This window comes from Homo sapiens, chromosome 4 (assembly GCF_000001405.40).
Source record: "Homo sapiens chromosome 4, GRCh38.p14 Primary Assembly".
Classification (NCBI taxonomy): domain Eukaryota; kingdom Metazoa; phylum Chordata; class Mammalia; order Primates; family Hominidae; genus Homo; species Homo sapiens.
The window spans coordinates 98921382-98943875 of NC_000004.12; the positions used below are offsets into that span (position 1 = coordinate 98921382).

At 42.1% G+C, this 22494-nt stretch overlaps 1 protein-coding gene across 4 annotated transcripts in view, besides 2 other annotated features; it reads right to left on the reverse strand.

Annotated features, from left to right (window-relative positions):
* EIF4E (eukaryotic translation initiation factor 4E) overlaps window positions 1–7752 on the reverse strand; it is a 49858-nt gene extending 42106 nt beyond the window's left edge. For 3 of the 4 annotated variants that reach the window (NM_001968.5, NM_001130679.3, NM_001331017.2), the window contains exon 1: window positions 7714–7752. In NM_001968.5, coding sequence (NP_001959.1) covers window positions 7714–7731 — 18 coding nt within the window. In that variant the 5' untranslated portion in view covers window positions 7732–7752. Of the gene's footprint in view, window positions 1–7513 lie in introns of all 4 variants that reach the window. The other variant, NM_001130678.4, reaches the window with a different exon arrangement.
* Window positions 8146–9345: an enhancer, noted in NCBI's record as "P300/CBP strongly-dependent group 1 enhancer chr4:99850678-99851877 (GRCh37/hg19 assembly coordinates)". NCBI's record gives its function as "activates an origin of replication core promoter dependent on BRD2, BRD4, P300/CBP, MED14 and CDK7 cofactors, with strong dependence on P300/CBP, by STARR-seq in HCT116 cells {active_cell/tissue: HCT116}" and the evidence as "EXISTENCE:reporter gene assay evidence [ECO:0000049][PMID:35650434]".
* Window positions 11251–11300: a silencer, noted in NCBI's record as "silent region_15579". NCBI's record gives its function as "represses an Ori minimal core promoter by ATAC-STARR-seq in GM12878 lymphoblastoid cells {active_cell/tissue: GM12878}" and the evidence as "EXISTENCE:reporter gene assay evidence [ECO:0000049][PMID:35858748]".

The following is a 22494-nucleotide window of genomic DNA, read 5'->3' on the forward strand; positions in this document are numbered from 1 at the left end:
TTTTTCTGTGCTCTGCTCATTACAATGACAGTAATGGAGTGCAATGTCATCATCTCGGCTCACTGCAACCTCCACCTCCCAGGTTGAAGCAATTCTCTTGCTTCAGTCTCCCAAGTAGCTAGGACTACAGGCACCCGTGACCACGCTTGGCTAATTTTTGTATTTTTAGTAGAGATTACAATGACAGTAATGAGCAGAGCACAGAAAAAAATATTACAACTAATTTCTGTATAGCATTTTGTAGTAACAAGCTTAAAATACACCAAGAAACACGTATGTGTACATTTTAGCTTAAACTTTTTCAAAACAACTGTTTTACCCTTTGCCAGACTTATCACCAAAATTACTAAAAGTACTAAGGTAGTTAAGTCTAGAATAAATCCAAAATTCACAAACTTTTAAAAATGTACTAAAACTTTTTTCACTAGCAAAATATTTTAACTGGGAAATCATACGAACTAGCAAATGCCAGAAATCAAATTAGAAAGGGGGAGAAGGTTAAGTGTCCATCCACTTTCTTTAGAAATCCACAAAGTTCTCAATTAGTTACTAAAACACGATTGGTGTAATTGCTTGGTTTAGTCCTCAAGATTATATATTTTTGTTATCTAACATTGTAATATAACAGGGCCTAAAAATAAATGCCCACACGTTTTATTTTATAGCTGTAGCAAAACACATAGTAAGCTTATCAAAACACATCTCCCCTTCTGAAGTCACCCAAGCAAAGCACATTACATGCCTACTTGAAAGAGTGCAACGGTTAAGAATATACACTCTGCACTTTGGCTGCTTTAATTTAAACTCCACCCCACCACTTAATAGCTGTGTGATTTTGGAGCAAGTTAGTCACACAATGTTACTTCATCTGTACTGTTAAGAATTAAATGAGTTAGCCTGGCGCGGTGGCTCACGCCTGTAATCCCAGCACTTTGGGAGGCTGAGGTGGGCGGATCACGAGGTCAGGAGTTCGAGACCAGCCTGGCCAATATGGTGAAACCCCATCTCTACTATAAATACAAAAATTAGCCGGGCGTGGTGGCACGTGCCTGTAGTCCCAGCTACTCAGGAGGCTGAAGCAGGAGAATCACTTGAACCCAGGAGGCGGAGGTTGCAGTGAGCCGAGATCGCGCCACTGTACTCTAGCTGGGACAACAGTGAGACGCTGTCTCAAAAAAAAAAAAAAAAGAAATAAATGAGTTAATATATGTAAAGCATTCAGTGTGGTACTTAACATAGAATAAGTGCTATGTGTAGCAATTACAAATAACGATCTTTCTACATTAAAAATAGCTGTTACAAACAAGGTATGTTTATAAGGTTTTTTTAGTTAGTTGCTTACAACTATAAATCCATATCCTTAATTCCATATCCCTATAAATCCAATGCTGGTTAGATTTGTAATGATTCCACAAAAATTTACTGAATATAGTGTGACTAAACTTCATTTTCCTGTTTTTTCTTTTTTCTTTTTTTTTTTTTTTGAGAAGGAGTTTCAGTCTTGTTGCCCAGGCTGGAGTGCGATGGCAGACATAGGCTCACCGCAACCTCCACCTCCCAGGTTCAAACGATTCTTCTGCCTCAGCCTCCCAAGAAGCTGGGGTTACAGGCATGTGCCACCATACCCAGCTAATTTTGTAATTTTGTTAAGTAGAGACAGGGTTTCTCCATGCTGGTCAGGCTGGTCTCGAACTCCCGACCTCAGGTGATCCGCCCACCTCAGCCTCCCAAAGTGTCGGGATTACAGGCGTGAGCCACCACGCCCGGCCCATTTTCCTACTGTTTCTATGGAATAATGTATCAAAAGTTCCAACTGGGGAAACAAAAAAAAAAAAACCCCTTATATTTCTGACCACATTCTCAGGTTCCAGAAGTGCCCAGAAATGACTATTAGTATTTTAGACACACACACACACACGCAAAATCATTTTCTTTTTCTTTTTTTTTTTGGTGAGATAGGGTCTCTTTCTGTCACCCAGGCTGGAATGCAGTGGTGTGATCACAGCTCACTGCAGCTCTGACCTCCCAGGCTCAGGGGATCCTCCCATTTCAGCCTCCTGAGGCTAGGACACAGGTGTGCACCACCATATTCAGCTAATTTTTTAATTTTTTGGAGAGACAGGGTCTCGCCATGTTGGCCAGGCTGGTCTCAAACTCCGGGCTCAAGTGATCCTCCTGCCTTTGTCTCCCAAAGCCTCGGATTACATGTGTGGGCCACCAAGCCCAGCCCCTTTCTTTTTCTGGAGACATGATTAGGGACTTTTGAAGGAACACTAGTGATTTTTATGGTAGGGATAGGAGTGGGAAGAACATCTTAGGATTGTGAATCACAGGCTTTGCATTTCTTGCTAATGGCTAAGGATTGATAATTAAAAAGCAGCAATGTGAATTTCCAAGAAAAGAGGGAAAATAGTATGTAAATGCATGGATATACATGAGTATAAAACATTCATGGAATGTCAACTTTAGTCCCTTACAGTTGACAAACTGTCACCTTTGAATACTGCATTTAAAAATTGAAATCACCGTAATATATCTTATTCCGACTTTCAGCTGACTTAGAAATTTCAGTCTTCAAGATCACTCAGATATTAAGATGAGACTATAACCCATGCTCATTTCCACTTCTCAAAAAAGTCTCTATGACTAAGATGGTGCAACTCACCGGTACTAATAGATTAAGGAAACTTCTTTTGTTTATTTTTTTTTTTTTTGAGACGGAGTCTCGCTCTGTCACCCAGGTTGGAGTGCAGTGGCACAATCTCAGCTCACTACAACCTCCGCCTCCCAGGTTCAAGAGCTTCTCCTGCCTCAGCCTCCTGAGTACCTTGGGATTACAAGCACGCATCACCACGCCCAGCTAAGTTTTGTATTTTTAGTAGAGGTGGGGTTTCACCATGTTGATCAGGCTGGTCTCAAACTACTGACCTGGTGATCTACCCACCTCGGCCTCCCAAAGTGCTGGGATTACAGGCATGAGCCACCGCACCCGGCCCATATTCTTAACTTTATGTAAATTAAACAATATTTTACTTAAATGTTTTTTGCCTACAGTTTTCTGTCCAAACTAGAGTAAGCTTACATAATTCATTTTGCATATTATCCCTCTGCAACTTCTGTGTATAAACTGTGTGTCTACATTGAATTTCTCTAAGTCTAATAATCATGCTCATTAACTCAGATTATAAAATGAAGTGTGAAATTTGTTTCTGTTTTTTTTTTTATTCTTTTTGATGGAGTCTTGCTCTGTCGCCCAGGCTGAAGTACAGTGGTACCATCTCGGTTCACTGCAACCTCCACCTCCAGGTTCAAGCGATTCTCCTGCCTTGGCCTCCCCAGTAGCTGGGATTACAGGCGCCTGCCACCAGGCCTGGCTAATTTTTGTATTTTTAGTAGAGACAGGGTTTCACCATTTTGGCCAGGCTGGTCTCGAACACCTGACCTCAAGTGATCCCCACCCGCCTCGGCCTCCCAAAGTGCTGAGATTACAGGCGTGAGCCACCGCACTCAGCAAGTATATTTTTTTCTTTTAATTGAAGAAATCTGGAATATGAACCCCAGAGCCAAATTTACGTGGATTATCGAGGAACTCTGATATAGTGGGTTCTTTCATTAAGCAAAAAGTCCACTAATTTGCATAGTCTGGTTGGCATTCAATTGTTCATTAATATGAATTATATAGTACAACAAATATTTGTCAATATGTATATAAACCTTATTTACTCTTATTAATAAGCTGTGTAGTACAGAGCATGTTTCCAAAGTATAAAAAAGGAAGCATTAAATTAGCTGATTGTCCAAGTTGATTCACTTATGAAATTAGCGTGGTTTCAAAAAATTCAAGAGCTACAATGTAAAAACAAGTAAAATTATACACTTTCAGTTAAGCTAAAGAAATCAAAATTAATCTCTTACCTCAAAAGGAACTACAAGTCAAAAAAAAATTTTTTTAATTCTAATAATGAACGATGTAGAATGAAGATAAAGCTACAAAGAAACACGACCTACTGGAGGTAAGATGGCCTTGCCATTTTCACAGACTAATATTAAACCTAATTTTGACCCAGCCACAATTCAAATGCCGATAGAATAACATCAGAGTACCGTTTGCCCTAACGTTCAAATTTTTGCCAAATTATCCGTTAAGAGGTAAAATGTTTCCCTTAATTTTCCCTTTCAAGCTTCTCAACAAATTTAATATTTGTGGGCCACATCTTCATGTAACTCAACTCATACAAAGAGAAAACCACACAATAATATCAAACTGAAAATGATATTTTATGTAATGTCCATAGACAAAAATCATCCAGATACCTATGCATGATGGGATAAGCAGGAAAAGCCCATGGCTCTTTTTAAGTGTTTATGATTATGCACAGCAGAAAACCATTATGGAAGCTCACAAACTAGCTGAAGTAAGAAAAAACATGATTTTTGCAGCCTTCAGCAGGGGTATCTCAAGTACAATCCAATTCTAATCAGTTGCTTCAAAAAAAAATCCAGGCGAGGCTCGGTGGCTCACGCCTGTAACCCAACATATTGAGAGGCCAAGGTGGGAGGACCACTTGAGTCCAGGAGTTTGAGACCAGCCTGGGTAACCATCGCGAGATTCCATCTCTACAAAAAGTTTAAAAATTATCCGGGCGTGGTGGCCTGCTCCTGTAGTGCTTGCTACACCAGAGGCTGAGATGGAAGCATCTCTTGAGCCCAGGAGTTTGAGGCTGCAGTGAGCTATGATCGCGCCACTGCACTCCAGCCCCAGCAACAGAGCAAGATCCTGCACCCCTACACACAAAATCCAACTATTTAAAACTGTCAAAAATAATTCCACATAACTAGCCTGTGCACAAGGGTATATTAAAAGTACTAAAAATTTTCAGGCCAGGCGCGGTGGCTCATGCCTGTAATCCCACCACTTTGGGAGGCCAAGACGGGCGGATCACCTGAGGTCGGGAGTTGAAGACCAGCCTGACCAACATGGAGAAACCCCATCTCTACTAAAAGTACAAAATTAGCCGGGCGTGGTGGCACATGCCTGTAATCCCAGCTACTCGGAAGGCTGAGGCAGGAGAATCGATTGAACCCAGGAGGCGGAGGTTGCGGTGAGCCAAGATCGCGCCATTGCACTCCAGCCTGGGCAACAAGAGTGAAAGTCAGTATCGAAAAAAAAAAAATTCATTTCTCACTAAAACTAAACACTTCGATACTATTTTACATATATTCTCAAAATACTTTAGTTTCCAGCTTCACACACTTTGTTTTTAGGTTCCCCTACTCCCCAAATTTAAACATAACATCCAAATCTCCCAAAGTCTGTACCAGAACAAATACTGTATCACTAACCACATCCCTAGGAATTAAGTTCCTTAAGGGTTTACATTCAACAAGACTCACATCTTGTATAACTTTGTATCCTAAAGAACACTTGGTACAACACCCTGGATATATCAGGAGCTATTAATATTTACTAACTCAAAATATAGTCCTTCATCACTTTGCAGTTCCGCTCTGTGCTGCTGAAACAAAACTGCATAAACTCTGCAAAACTCAAGGGACCTAAATGTGACAGAAACCTCACAGAACTCCTTATTGTTTTATAGTTTACAGTCTCGTAGCCTTGCCCCTATTACCAGATGTAATGCTTTTTACTGACACTAGTGTAGTGGGGTAGGAACAGATCTAGACAAAAGTGGACATCAGAACCTGTCAAGGGGTTTAAAATGTATATTTTACATACTTATTCTTCATTAGTGTTATGTAATATTAATGTCCTAAAGTCAGTTAACTGTAGCAACAACTTATGAGTTTTTCAGTCAATTTAATTCCCAGGAACATAAATGAAAACTGGTGCCAATAAAAAAACAAGTAAGCAAGCAGAGAAGCTGCCTTGAATTTTGACAAGGTAAGGATAGTTTACACCAACGCAATGAAAAATAAGCCTTTGTGTAGTCTATAAGAGTTTTTGAAATAGTTTTATAAAAGTCTTTAAAAGTGCCGGGTGCTGTGGCTCACGCCTGTAATCCCAGCACTTTGGGAGGCTGAGGCGGGAGGATCACTTGAGGTCAGGAGTTTCAGACCAGCCTGGCCAACATGGTGGAACCCCGTCTCTACTAAAAATACAAAAATTAGCCAGGCACGGTTGTGCGCACCTGTAATCCCAGCTACTCAAGAGGCTGAAGCAGGAGAATCGCTTGAACCCGGAGGCGGAGGTTGCAGTGAGCCGAGATCACGCCACTGCACTCCAGCCTGGGCGACAAAGCAAGACTCCATCTCAAAAAAAAAAAAAAAAAAAAAAAAAAAAAAAAGTCTTTAAAAGTCAAAGCAAACTGGTAAACCATTAGCAAAACCACAAGCTACCATGAAAAGATACACAAAAGTATCTGGCAACCAAGGTCTAGAGCTGGTTCCAGAGTGTGAAAGGTTTTCTGATTGCTAATAAACCCCATTATGCACACAAGATATCTTCACTTAGCTGTGTCGTTTCTAAAAAGGCAACAGGGCCCAGAAGTTTCAGTGAGCCAGTCCTGGCAAACCCAAATTATGAAAAATATACCCTCTGCTTAAAGATTAACTACAAACCTACCCTGGGACCAGCTTGCTTCAGTTAAGTTTAAAATGGTGCCTAAATTGAAATGAAAGTCTGTAGCATAGATAAAGAGAAAAAAAAAGTCAAATGGAAAAGTAAATTTAAAAGTTTCTATTTCCAATAAACTGCGTCTCAGAAATCTTCCAGGAGATAAAGACTCGGAAGAACAGAGGGATTGAGACCCATTCGCATTCTCTGAGGCGTGCGCACTACGCGGAAAGGATGAATGAATGGAAGACGGGCGCGTGTGAAATGCAGCAGGTCCGGCCGGCAAGCCGACCGGCTACAGCGATCTGTAGGCCTCGCTCCTCCCCCTTCCCTCCTCCATGACAGCCCAGTCCCAAGCATGGAGGGGCGAGGACAATGTGATACCCCTTCTCACCACCACCATCCCTCATTCTACTTGGAGAGCTTCACCGTGACACACGAGTGTTCCTTCCCACCCCAGACCTTTCTCGCTTCCCCTGGCGCAAACACCGGCAACTCTCCGGCGCGCTGGATTAACAGACGCTCGCCCCTCTCAACTCCCCTAAGCGAGGTCGAAGCTCCTCCGCGCGTGCCGCGGCACCACTCCCGCCTAACCCACCCTCCGGCAACACTCGCCCACCAGCTCCCCAGTCCACCGGTCTAAGGAAGACGTGCGCGCGCCCCGCACCCGAGCCCCGGAGCTGGGGTTCTGCAGGGAGGGAAAGGCTGCTCCAGGGCTCCCTCCTCCATCTCACTCCAGGCCGGCTCGCCGCCCACCCTGCCTGCGGATCCCAGTACTCGCTGGGAGCCGGCCCTGCGCCTTCCTATCATGAAGACACCATCCTCGCATACCCAGCCCAGAACCCCAGCTACCCTCCACCCTGTAGACACCTCGCGGTTCCGCAGGAGGCGCCACGCCGCCCCTCCCCCACACCGCTCCCCCAGTTCTCGGGCCCCCACCAGAAAGTGTGCGCTACACGCCGCCTCGGCCATCCTCCGGGACGTCCCCACTTGTCCGCGGGAGGTCAGGTCCAACATGAAGGGGAAGGGGCGGCAAGGGGTACAGTGCGCGCCGGGAACGCCGTCCCGCGGAGTCCCCCAGTCAGAAGGAAGACGGAGCGCGGGGACCCGTGGGGGTGGGGGCCAAAGGCAATACTCACCGGTTCGACAGTCGCCATCTTAGATCGATCTGATCGCACAACCGCTCCAGAAGGGGGGGTAAGAGGAAAAAAATGAGATTCAAACCGGATTGGCCAGCTTCTGGCCACGTGACGGATATGTCCGTTTGGCCCTGGCGGCACCTGCGCAAGACTGCGGCTGCGTGAGTAACGAGAGGCTTCTGGGAAGTGGAGTCTCTCCCCCACCTTTTTTTTTTTTTTTTTTTTAAGGTAAAGAAATTTTTTTTAAAAAGGACTGGTCACGTGGCCGATGGGTAGGGTGCGCGGTTCTCAACGCGGCGGACACTCGCTTGCTGGAGGGTGGTTTCAGTCCTCTGCTCTTCCGCCTGGATAGCTGCGGTCACACTTACTGCCAGGCAAGCCTACTGTGCCCTTTGTCGCCCTGTCCTCCCATCTTCCCCGGAAGGTTGGGAACTGCAGGCTCAGCACACACAATAAGGCTTCATTTGCTTAGTTGAGGTCCCAGGACAAGTTGCCTGTGTGTTTATTTAGTTTTCTTTTGATCTCCCACCATTTTCTCTTAGTTTCAAAAAGAGGCGGCGATGCAGAGTCGTTTAGGCAATCAACCCTCCCACGTCCCCTGGCTCAGCTAATGCTGGTGGTCATTCGTTGCCATTTCTGCGAAAGGGGACGGACGGAACCGCCCGCAGTACCCGCTTGCCACCGGCTGGACGAGGGGGAGGGACGACAGCTTTTACTGTCCCAAATCCTGAGATTAAGACCTCAGGGCTAAATCTTGCGTGGCGGTAAAAATTATTTGGAAGTTCTGTGCAACCGTTCCAATATTCCGCTTTTACGTGCACGGAAATAGCCTAAGTCCAGATGCCAGCCAGGGAAGCCACTCCGGGCCCCGCTGACTAAGCCCTGGACTGATGGTCTGGAGTCTTTAGGCCGGGTCAACTATGACTCTTGACGTTGACTCATTCTCCTTAGGCGAGTGACTTAATCGCTCGGCGTCTCAGCTTTTTTATTTATGAACCAAAGGTGATGATACACTTACCTCACAAGGGTGTGCTTCGTAATGACTGTAACCGGCTTTGAAAATGCATCGGACTCTAGAAATGATTCATAATAAGCAACTGCGTGCCTTCCTAAAGATCAAGTGCTTCTGCTTTTTTTTTTTAGCAAAGTTTAAATTTTTTTCTGTTTACTTTGTTTGATTATGATGTACACCAGTGTAGTTTTAAATGTTCAGGACCATTTTTTTTCCTTTACAACTGCAGCTGCCCTCAATAGAGGCTTTAATGTTCATGAAATTATTGTTATGCTCACAACAATCACTGGCAATCAGAAATTTGTCCCCACACTGGCATCCTACATTTCCTTTCCCTCTAAGATACTGTGCTGTCATTTCTCAAGACCGTGTTTTTTGCACAGTTTGGCTACTAATAACAACAAATAGAGATGAAGAAATCTAGTAGACTCCTAAGGTTCTAATGAAGAAGACACTGTCTCATTACTATTTCCCATGCTTTTAAATAATGTTGACACCAGGAAAAGGAGTGTATGCAGGCTGCCTGTGCCTGTCTGCTTATAGTGTTAATGAGGTCCAGAGCTGTGTCATACCTATTATTGAGTACATAATGGATGCTTGAGTTGACTAACACATAATTGAGGCTGTATGAGAACTCAAAGCCATTGCCTGTTCATATGTTTTGGTTTACCTGAATATCAGAAGTGATTAATGAAAGCTTTTGTCTAGTGGGCTTAGCTCTACTAGGTTTTAAAGTAGATAGAATTAACAGGCCAGGCGCAGTGGCCCACGCCTGTAATCACAGCCCTTTGGGAGGCCAAGGCGGGCGGATCACCTGAGGTCAGGAGTTCGAGACCAGCCTGACCAACATGGTGAAACCCTGTCTCTACTAAAAATACAAAAATTAGCCAGGCATAGTGGCACCTGCCTGTAGTCTCAGCTACTCAGGAGGCTGAGGCAGGAGAATCACTTGAACCTGGGAGGTGGAGGTTGCAGTGAGCCAAGATCCCGCCACTGCACTCCAGTCTGGGCGACACAGTGAGACTCCATTTCCAAAAAAAAAAAAAAAATGATAATAAACGGATAAGTGGATTTCTACTTACAGAGACTATCTACTGTTACTTAGACTATCCAAAATAATTCTGTTGACCGCGTTGTTATTTTCTGCTGGTTAGAAGTGGTGTCAGGTTACCTTCTTTGAAGAGAAAAAGACAGCATAGATGTCCTATTTTCCCCTTCCCCACCCTTCCCCACCCTTCCTCTCCCTTCCCTACCCTTCCCCTCCCTTCCCTTCCCTTCTCTTCCCCTCCCCTCCCCTGTCCTCCCCTCCCCTCCCTCCCCTCCCCTCCCATTCTCTCTCTCTCTCTCTCTTCCTTCCTTCCTTCCTTCCTTCCTTCCTTCCTTCCTTTCTTTTTGTCTTTTCAGGGTGTTGCTCTGTTACCCAGGCTGGAGTGCAGTGGCATGATTATGGCTCACTGCAGCCTTGACCTTCTGGGTTCAAGGGGTCCTCCCACCTTAGCTTCCCAAGTAGCTAGGACTACAGGCATGGGCCACCATGCCTAGCTAATTTTTTTATATTTTGCAGAGACAGGAGCGTCTAGCTATGTTCCCCAGGCTGGTCTCAAACTCCTGGGCTCAAGCGGTCCCCCTACCTGGGCCTCCCAAAGTGCTGAGATTGCAGGCATGAGCCACCATTCCTGGCCAGATGTCCTATTTTCATGAAGCTGTTATATAACAGCAAAAAATCAATGAGATTGGCAAGAAAATACCTATAGGACTGAAAGCCAGTGATGTTCTTAAAACTTTTTTTAAACAACAGTTTCCATTTTTATTAAATTTTCTGTTAATCAAAAAACTCGGGCCGGGCACGGTGGCTCATGCCTGTAATCCCAGCACTTTGGGAGGCCAAGACGGGCGGATCACGAGGTCAGGAGATCGAGACCATCCTGGCTAACACGGTGAAACCCCGTCTCTACTAAAAATACAAAAATTAGCTGGGCATGGTGGCAGGCGCCTGTAGTCCCAGCTACGCGGCAGGCTGAGGCAGGAGAAAGGAGTGAACCCAGGAGGTGGAGCTTGCAGTGAGCGGACATCGCGCCACTGCACTCCCTCAGTCTCAAAAAAAAAAAAAAAAAAAAAACTCCCTCTTGTCAACCAAGACTCATACTTTTACAATACTTATGGATGCTCTATTCTTTATGGTTTAGTTTCTTTCCATTTTTTACATAGTTTTCAACAATTTTTCTTTATAATTTTCAAGCACAGAGTTTCAGGAAAATCTCCATTTTTGTATATACTTTGTTGTGTGTGTTTTATGACCATTAATGTGTCTTTGCCTATTTGAGATTCTACCATTTCAAAGATTTAACGATTAGGTTTTTATGTATGTGTGTATGTGGTTGTTTTGTTTTGTTTTTGCCAATCCTAAATATATAGAGCTGAAATTTTATGTTTTATTTCTCTATTTATTCTCTATTATTCTTTATTGCTCTTCAAAGGACTTGTAATTCCAAGTTCATTTACAGAACTGACCAGAAACCATCCAACAAGTACTAAGTTAGTAATGGGAACTATGTAACCAGTGGAGGATATTTAAAGGACACAGGAAGTACAGGCACTTCCTTCCCCGACTGTAAAATCTGGTTGGCGTACTAAGTCATAGAAATATAAATAGTTCAGTACCCATATAAAGAGGTGTGACTAAGAACCAAGAGGATGCAGTTAACAAGCACCATAACCAGCACACATTCACATAATGAATGAGCGAATCATATACTTCCTTCCCTCATTTCATCCAGGCCTCTGTTCCAATGTGATCTCCTGAAGGAAGGCTTCCTTGACCACCCTATCTAAATTACTGTTTCCATTACTCTTTATCCCCTCACTCTGCTTTGGTTTTCTTTAGGCCACTTCATAACCCTAACTCTAAACTTGCTGTTAAACATTATTTAATTAGTTGTTGATTGACCCTACTACTAAAATATTAGCTCATTGATGATTTGTAGATAGATTGCTATCAAATATTTGGGGAAAACTCAAATGTAATTTTTTTTTCCCGAGATGCAGTCTCACTCTGTTGCCCAGATCTTGGCTCACTGCAACCTCTGCTTCCTGGGTTCAAGCGATCCTCCTGCCTCAGCCTCCCAAATAGCTGGGACTACAGGTGCGTGCCACCACACCTGGCTAACTTTTGTATTTTTAGTAGAGATGGCCAGCCTGGTCTCGAACTCCTGACTTCGTGATCTGCCCGCCTCGGCCTGCCAAAGTGCTGGGATTACAGGCCTGAGCCACTGTGAACCCTTATTTTAATTTTACAGTTTGAGAGACACCAATTCCCATTACCTACTCAGGACATTGCTTAAAAACATGGGATGTACGCAAACATGACCAAGGAATTTTGAATATTAAAAGATTGGAGCAGAATTGGAATTTAAAAAATTATTTTATTATTCTAGTTAGTTTTTTGTTTACTCTCTCCTTGGTGATTTTTATGAGACTGAGGCACTACCTACTGGCTAAAAAGGCACCTTGATTTTTAAAAGAAAATCAAGAAAAAGAAAAAGAAAAAAATTTTTTAAGGGAAACCTCTTCTGCTATTCTAATATATCCGTGTGCCAACATTTTATGCTTTTACAATTATAGGGTGCAAAGAGTTTTTGTTTGTTTGTTTAGAGACAGGGTATTCCTATACTACTAGGCTGGAGTGCAGTGGCACAATCCTGGCTTACTGCAGCCTCTAACTCTGGGGCTCAAGCGATCCTCCCACCTCAGCCTCCTGAACGATGGCTAAGACTACAAACATGTGCCACCATGCCCAGCTCATTTTTTTATTTTTTGTAGAGAAAAGATCTTGTTATGTTGCCCAGGCTAGTCTCGAACTCCTGGGCTCAAGTGATCCTCTGGCTTTGGCCTCCTAAAACTCTGAGATTATATGTATGAGTCACCCCCAGCCTGCACAAACAATTTTGAATTCTACATTTTTTTCCACATGACATCTTATTGCAAACATTTTGGACATTGCCTATAGATGGGATAACAGTTTTTAAACTTTTTTTTTTTGGAAAAATTTTAAACTTACAGAATACTTGTAATAGTAACTCTTCTTCTAAGCCCTTCTAAATTCACCAATTATTAATTTGTTGCATTGCCTCTCTTAATCTCATTACTTCTGAACCATTTGAGAGGAAGTTGCAGGCATGATGATCCTTTACCTCTAAATACTTCAGCATGTTCCTCCTATGAATAAAGACGTTTTCTTACAGCACCGTAATACAAATAATGAAATCATGAAATATAATAGTAGTTTTATCTAAAATAAAAACCATAAAATCAATATTCGTATTTTGCCAGTTTCTTCACTCATTTTGACAGAAATACTACAAAAATAATATTGTATTCTTCCTGGTGCATCACATCATCGGTAACATTAGTGGCTTCAGAATATTCTGCTGAGTGGATATATCACAGTTCCCTTAATCAGTTCCAAATGGTTACATATTCAGGTAATTTCCAGTCTTATATTATTATAATGTTCTAATGCATACATTTATGAGAAATGTGTTTTCCTATTTAGATGATTTCCTCAGGACAATTTTTCATCAATAGAATTAGTTTATAGGATACATAGTTTTGACTGTTTATACATAATGGAATTCATGTTGCTCTCCAAAAGTGTGGTATCGGCATGAGATGTCACAGCCAACTTATCAGTGTTGGGTGTTAAAGGAATTAAAAGAATGTATCGTTAATGATTCTTGTTGCTAGTTTCAATATTTACTTATTCACAGCCTTTACCTTTGTTCCATTACCTGTTATTTTGGAAATGTTGAAATCTACAAAAAATTTGAAACAATACAACAAACACTTATAAACCCTTCACCTAGATTCTCTAGTTGTTAATCTTTGAATCAATAAGGATTGATAAGGGCTGGGCGTGGTGGCTCACACCTGTAATCCCAACACTTTGCGAGGCCGAGGAGGGTGTATCACTTGAGCTCAGGAGTTTTGAGACTAGCCGGCCAACATGGAGAAACCTCATCTCTACTAAAAATGCAAAAATTAGCCAAGCATGGTGGCGTGCACCTGTAGTCCCAGCTATTCAGGAGACTGAGGCAGGAGAATCACTTAAACCCAGGAGGCGGAGCTTGCAGTGAGCTGAGATCGTGCCACTGCACTCCAGCCTGGGCGACAGAGTGAGTCTGTCTCAAAACAAACAAACAAATAAGGACTGATAAGAATACTGATGTAATTTTGAAAAGTATGTAGTAGCCAAGGGGCCTGTCACATATGGAAGAGTTATGGAAATGGTTAATGGAACATGGAGTCTCTAGGTGCAATATAGATGGGCAGCCAAGAAGGGTATTATTCAATTTACACTACGAAAAAAAAATAAATAAGTAAAAATTAGGGCCAGGTGAAGTGACTCATGCCTGTAATCCCAGCACTTGTGGGAGGCCAAGGCAGGAGGATTGCCTGAGCCCACCAACCTGGGCAACACCGTAAGCCCCAGCCTCTAAAAAAAAATAAACATAAAAATAAATGATGGATGATAAGGAGGCCATAGGCAGTTGTACCAATAAAACATCAAAATCTCCTGCCAAGTTCCTGGACCTGAGCCAATTTTTAGACCCAAAATCCATTGACTGAAGAAGTTAGGTGCGAGGGAGAAAGGAACCGTGGCAAGCAATGGGGTTAATGATTCCCCAGTTCTTCCCCCAAAATGATCTATGGCTGTTTACTTGTGCAACTGTATGCTTTGTAAAGGGGAACACCCAAGCAGTTCTAATACTGCCGGACTCAGGTTTGACTTGACATTGATACCCAGAGCCTGAAGTACTATCCTAGCCTTCCTGTTTAAGTGAGGATATACGGGGTTCAGGTAATACATGAAAAGCAAATAAAAATGGAAGGTCCAAAATTCCTTAAATGTCTTTTAAGCAACATTAATAGGAGACTATTATATACAGTTGACCCTTGAACAACACGTGTTTGAACTTTGTGGGTACATTTACACATGGACTTTTTAAATATAAATATACTGCAAATATTTTTGGAGATTTAGGACAATTTGAAAAATCTCACAAACTGCATAGCCTAGAAATATTGAAAAAATTAAGAAAAAGGTATGTCACGAATGCATAAAATATATGTGTTAATAGATAGAGTATGTTATTGGTAAGGCTTCTGGTCAACAGTAGGTTATGAATAGTTAAGTTTTGGGGGAGTCAAAAGTTATATGTGAATTTTCAGCTGGGCATCTCATACCTATAATCCCAGCACTGTGGGAGACCAAGGCGGGTGGATCACTTGAGGCCAGGAGTTCAAGACCAGCCTGGCCAGCATGGCGAAACCCTGTCTTTACTAAAAATACATTAGCTGGGCATGGTGTCGTGGACCCGTAATCCCGGCTACTTGGGAGCCTGAGGCACGAGAATCGCTTGAACCCGGGAGGCGGAGGTTGCAGTGAGCTGAGATCATGCCAGTGCACTCCAGCCTGAGCAACAGAGCAAGACACTGTCTCAAAAAAAAAGTGTTTTAACATTTAAAAAAATTAAATAAAAAAGTTATATGTGAATTTTCAACTGCGTGGGGGGCTGAACACCCCTAATTCACACATTGTTTAAGGGTCAACTACTGGGAAACCAACAGATGTGTCTTCTGTAATGAAAACCACACAGAATCTGTAGAATGTAGTGGTCAACGATTTTGTAGATTTGAAATGAAGAGGGAATAGCTGTTTTACTCTCTGGGAGAAGACTATCTGTAAGAGACTTCCAGGCTAATGAAATTGGTAAGGTACTGGCCAGGCATGGTGGCTCACGCCTGTAATCCCAACACTTTGGGAGGCCGAGGCGGGCAGATCACGAGGTCAAGAGATCGAGACTGTAAGATACAATGAATTTCTTTGAACTTCTCTTCAAAGGTTTAGCCTGCTAACTTCCTTGTCCTTTGTTCTCAAACTCAGTTTTCCTGTTCCTCCTTGCCCCTAGTTACTGTAAAACAGCCTACCCCCTTCCTGTCAGCTCTAATCAATAACTCACATCTTTTCCCTTGGTTACCTGCAGCCATTGTTCCCCCGAAACTGCACGTCTCAAACAGTCTCACATGCTTTACCACTGTACCTCACGTCCCCCTGCCCTTCCATATTTAGAAAAATATTTGCAAGTAGCCAATCGGGTCAGCTCAGATTGTGCGGTCCGACCCCAGCCCATCGGGGAGGGACAAAGAGGTAGGGATTGCATTAAGGATATAAAAAAACCCTGATGTCCTTTATTCTCTGTGCTCTTGCGATCTCGATTGACACAAGTGGCACCCTTCTTCCGAAGTAAATTGCCCTGCTGAGACAACTTTTGCCTGAGTGCTGGTTTCACTTTGTGGCACCGAGCATTTATTTCCAGAACATTTTTTTATCCAACAAGACCATTCTGGCCAACATGGTGAAACCCTGTTTCTACTAAAAATACAAAAATTAGCTGGGCTTGGTGGTGTGCACCTATAGTCCGAGCTACTTGGGAGGCTGAGGCAGGAGAATCGCTTGAACCCAGGAGGCGGAGGTTGCAGTAGGCTGAGATAGCGTCACTGCACTCCAGCCTGGCAACAGAGCGAGACTCGCCTCAAAAGAGAAGGAAGGAAGGAAGGAAGGAAGGAAGGAAAAGAAATTGGTGAAATTGGTACTGACATGAAATTACAAAGTGCATTTTAGTCTAAATAAATAAGAAAGAAAAATAAGGTATCAGAGGAATCTGAGACAAGAGAAAGTTGGCTGGAGATAGTTAAAATATTTCTAAGGCCCAGTCTCTTGAGATAGACCTGTAGCCAATAATTTACATAATAATAACAAAAATGACAAGGGAGTGAGTAAACAAGTAGTTCACAGAGCTAAAAGCAAGGCATGATGCAAGGTGTGAATGGAATTAGTAAGTAAAATGTGTTGCCTGGGTATGTAGAATTTGATATTTGTTTTAACAAATTTAAAAACTGTCAGCTGCTACTTTAAGTGGAGACAGAATTTCCCTTTAGCACATTTTTATTCTGAGAAGAATCACAGTAGTGGCTGCTTTTAGTTATGTAAATGTATGGGCAAAAGCATAATTGCAAACTAGGGCTGCTGGTAGACTGCTCCACTTCTCTAATTCTCTCTTCAGCAGCCAAGTAGCTTGGTATTAGGATAGTCCTCTTGGACTAGTAAGTTTCTAGGCTTTTTAATTAATTCAGAGGGAAATGCGACAACAGAAACTACTTCCCCAATAATGAGTGGAAAGTACCAAAATTAAATAAATATAACTGAGGTGTAATTTTAGGGAAGAACAATTGGATTGTGATTTCAACCAAGGAATGTAAAACTATGTGGTTGCAATATATTCTGCCTGAACTAAAAAAGTGCTTTAGCAGAGGAAAGGAAATTGGTAGTAGTCTCCCTGTCATGTTGAAAAGGAAAGTCCAGAAAGATTTGGCTGTGTGTTGCCTGCACTACTCGGGGCCCTAGAATACAAATATGGTAGCTGACTCATGGGGTAAGTATCTCCCTATGTCAGACTAGGAAAGTTAGTGACACTTATCATTATTGAATAGGTTATAAAACTCAAGAACAGGACAGGTGTGGTGGTTCATGCCTGTAATCTCAGCACTCTGGCAGGCCAAGGGAGGAAGATGACTTGAGCCCAGGGGTTTGATACTAGCCTGGGCAACATAATTTTAAAAAATAAATTAATTTTTAACAATAAAATAAATAAAATACATAACCTCAAGGACAACCTTATAAAATTAATCCTGATAATTGCTCCTAGATGAATGCTGATGAAGGTAAGTGAATTCTAAAAACAGTACTAATCTCCCTTCTACCTCACCAAATATGTTTCTTTTCCTGAATTCTTTATCCTGGTTAATTATAAAATCATCTTCCAGTCACTCCTTTCCTAAAATCTTGTCATCATCTCTCCAATGATGGTCACTCTTTCATCCTCCACATCCAGTAAATCAGCAAGGTTTAGCAATTATTATTATTATTATTTTTCAAGACGGAGTCTCCCTCTGTTGCCCAGGCTGGAGTGCAGTGGCTCAATCTTGGCTCACTGCAACCTCCGCCTCTTGGGTTAAAGTGGTTATTGTGCCTCAGCCTCCCTAATAGCTAGGACTACAGGCGCGCCCCACCATGCCGGCTAATTTTTGTATTTTTATTAGAGACAGGGTTTCACCATGTTGCCCAGGATGGTCTTGAACTCCTGACCTCGAATGATCCACCTGCTTCAGCCTCCCAAAGTGCTGGGATTACAGATGTGAGCCACCATGCCTGGCCATATTTTTATGTTCTCAAGTATTCCCTCTCCTCTTCATTCTCACTGTCTTAGTGTAGTGGACATCTATATATCTATAGTTCAGCTTTCTTTTTGTAATACTTGCAATTCTGATCTTTTGGGGACCTATTCCTTCTCACTCTAACCATGTGGTTCTACTGGGACTTGCCTCATGGTTCCCCTTACACCATTATTGGAGGCACATGACCTGGGTGGAAAATTAGAAGGAGTCATAACTGAAAGGGTGAATGCAGACACTTCACTTTATACAAGTCAAGGTTATCGTAGTGGTCATGGTGGATGACTTCTCAACAAGAGTCTCTCACAATGATTAGTCTAAGTCAGAAGTCACCATACTGTGGACATTTAGGGTCAGATAATTCTTAGTTGTGGAAGTTGTTTTATGTATTGTGAGATGTTTAGCAGTATCCCTGGCTTCTATCCTTTAGATGCCAGTGCACCCTTTCTCTAAGGTGTGACAACTAAAAATACTCCAGATATTGCCAAGTGACTCCTAGACAGTGAAATCATCTCAGGTTGAGAACTACTGGCCTAAACTATTTGTGGCAATCCTATTGCTTATTTCATTGGTCTCCAAAAACAGGCCAATGTAAGGTGTAAAAGTTTTGTCCACTAGAGGGCTTCTGGGAAGGTTTCCACAATCCTGAGAAAGTCGACTGGAATTAAGAGCATTTTCTTGAGAGAAGTTGTTTTTATGTGAATACTTAAACTGGCTGCAGTCAACATGGAGGGGGAAATGGAGAAATAAGGAATGTAAAGTAGGAGATAGAATAAATTTTACTCCTTAACTGTTGAGCCGATGACTTCTCTGCATGAGCCTAAAACAATCTTATCTCTGTACTACCACTTATTTTTGAGTATATATGTATGTACTAAAAAAAAAAAAAAAACAGCTCAAATGGGAGTGTACTGTACATGCTTTGTGTTACTTCTTTTTACATATTTGTAGGTGATGCTTTCATATAAGTATATAGAAAGCTGCCTAATTCTTTTCATTGACTGCAAATTATTTCATTTCATAGATAAGGAATAATTCATCTAACCAGTATCTTGGAGTCTTTTATGTGTGTTTTTTTTTAAAAAAAAAACAAAAACAAAAACATTTTTTCTAATGCAAAGAATGGTTCCATAACTTTCCATTATACACAAGTCATTGGAATAGACTTGAGAAGAGGAATTATTAAGACGGACGCCATGGCTCATGCCTGTAATCCTGACACTTTAGGAGCCCGAGGAAGTGGATCACTTGAGCTCAGGAGTTTGAGACCAGCCTGGCCTACGTGGTGAAACCCCGTCTCTACTAAAAACACAAGAAAATTAGCTGGGCGTGATGGCACACACCTGTAATCCCAGCTACTCAGGAGGCTGAGGCAGGAGAATCACTTGAACCCAGGAGGAGGAGATTGCAGTGAGCCAAGATCATGCCACTGCACTCCAGCCTGGGTGACAGAGTGAGACTCTGTCTCAAAAAAAAAAAAAAAGACAAATTATTAGGTGTGCATGTGTGATTTTCATAGATATTATAAAATATCCTGGGAAGAGATTGAATTAACATTCTCATTATCAACATATGGTAGCCTCATACTCTGATTAATAAATTATCAAACTTTGAGACGTAGTCTCGCTCTGCCACCCAGGCTGCAGTGCAGTGGCGCGATTTCGGCTCACTGCAACCTTCACCTCCCGGGTTCAAGCGATTCTCCTGTCTCAGCCTCCCAAGTAGCTGGGATTATAGGCATGGGCCGCCATGCCCGGCTAATTTTTGTATTTTTAGTAGAGATGGGGTTTCACTATGTTGGCCAGGCTGGTTTCCAACTGACCTCAGGCGATCTGCCTGCCTCAGCCTCCCAAAGTGCTGAGATTACAGGCTTGAGCCGCTGCACCCAGCCAGTTATCAAACTTTTTGTGCTTTGGTAATTTCATGAAATACTATATGCAATGTAATTTCAGTTTATATAATAAAACTTGTCAGAATGAAAATGGAATCATTTGTGTAAAACCCTGGCAAATGGAAGGCCTTGAAAGGAGGGTTGTCACGCATGTATGCCTAATAACAAGAACTATCACAAAAGATAGCAAAAAACATGACCTTACACAGAGGCTACTTCAACCTCATACAAAAAATACTTCTGTGAAAAATAAAAATACTTCTGTGAGCACATGTGCTGAGCAACTGCCTGTCCAACCTTGGACTGACACCATCCTCGTTATTGGTCTCTGTAGGCAAAGATAATTGTTTCAAAATAGTTATGTAATCCCCCTCATTTTTCACTGAAAAACCCTTTTACCTCCCAGAACATGCTCCCTGTATTCCCATTGCAAGGCTCAATCCCCAAAACTATCATTTTCTTTTATAGAGTCTCTCTCTGCCTGTTATTTAGGTTGACATAATCTGGTGTCAAGAAGTGGGACCAAAGTGAGCTCACCTTGATGGATCGGTGACTCCTGGAATCACATGAAGTTCCCACATTGAGCCCCTTTGAGCTCTCCAATCCTACAGCTCACCTTTTCTGTCATGGTGAATCTCCTCTCAGGTTCTTGAACTCCCTCATTTTGGTGAGTTCTTTTGACTTTCTTTGGGATTTGTTTTGGATAATGGCTGCCTTAATAAAGGACCTTGTATCTCTCTTGAGACTAGAAAATACATTTTTTCTGACAAATCCTTTCTGGTACAAAGATATTTTATCTTTCTGGAGAGTATACACTTCTGATTTCTATAAAATTTACCTCATGTATTTTCTGGTGAGTTCTTTTTTTTTTCTTTTTGCATGCCTTCGCAGCCATTATACAATTCAGTGAGTCCTAGCTGAAATGTAAAAACACCTGAGAAACTAACCACTAAATTTGAGGCTTTAAAAAAAAAAGGTAAGAGAGTTTTTTTCTTTTTACCAACTGCTATAGGGATGTAACTCAGATCCAACCAGTGAATTTATGTTACTATATTTTACAGTCTCATGAATACATATAAAAGTGAAAGCTATAAGATCTTTGTTAACATATGTGTTTATGTATGTTATATGTTGTGTATACATGGCAAAATCTGGCATAATTGACCAGAAATCCCTTAAGGAAGCCTATTTAGATTGGCTTAGAGAGAAATGGGTACTCATGTAAAATTATATCTAAAACTGTTGAAATATATAGTAATTAACCCAAATGCCTTTTTGTTTATGTGACTTAAGTGAATCTTTGATAAATAAGCTGGTTTTAAATTTATCAGTAAAATAGAAATGTTTTTAGAATTGTCAGCATACATTCTTGCCTGCACTTATTGTTCAGACAATTTTTATATTTGTTCTAGCTGTTTTAAAGTGTCAGGATTCGACACACAGGTCATAAAACTATAATTCCAGCCTTAAAAGCAAAATGATCTTTGATGGTTAATACTGAGTGCCAATTTGATTGGATTGAAGGATACAAAGTATTGATCCTGGGTGTGTCTGTGAGGGTGTTGCCAAAAGAGGTTAACATTTGAGTCAGTGGGCTTAGGGAAGGCAGATCCACCCTTAATCTGCTGGGCACCATCTAATCAGCTGCAGCTAATATAAAGCAGGCAGAAAAACATGAAAAGGAGAGACTGGCCTAGCTTCCCAGCCTACGTCTTTCTCTCATGCTGGATGCTTCTTGTCCTTGAACATTGGACTCCAGGTTCTTCAGTTTTGAGACCTGGACTGGGTTTCCTTGCTCCTCAAGTTTGCAGACAGCCTATTGTTGGACCTTGTGATCATGTAAGTTAATACTTAATAAACTCCCCTATATATCTATAAACATATATATATATGTATGTATGTTACGTATGTATGTATGTATGTATGTATCCTATTACTCTGTCCCTCTAGGGAACCCTGACTGATACAGTTTATGTCACTTTTTTTTTTTTTGAGATGGAGTTTTGCTCTTGTCCAGGCTGGAGTGCAATGGCACGATCTCTGCTCACTGCAACCTTTGTCTCCCAGGTTCAAGTGATTCTCCTGCCTCAGCTTCCTGAGTAACTGGGATTACAGGCAAGCGCCACCATGCCTGGCTAATTTTGTATTTTTAGTAGAGACAGGGTTTCACCATGTTGATCGGACTGGTCTCGAACTCCCAACCTCAGGTAATCTTCCCACCTCAGCCTCCCAAAGTGCTGGGATTACAGGCATGAGCCACCACACCCGGCCTACTTTTTTTTTTTTTTAAGGCAGGATCTTGCTCTGTTTCCCAGTCTGGAGTGCAGTGACACGATCATGACTCACTGCAGCCTCAACCTCTCAGACTCAAGCAATCCTCTCACCTCAGCCTCCCAAATAGATGGGACTTTTTTTTTCTTTTTAATTTTTTTATAGAGATAGGGTTTCACTATGTTGCCCAGGCTACTCTCAACCTCCTGGGCTCAAGTGATCCTCCCACCTTAGCCTCCCAAAGTGTCAGGATTACAGGCATGAACCATCCTGCCCAGCCTATTTTTGTGCAACTTTTTGATGAATAAGACTAGTT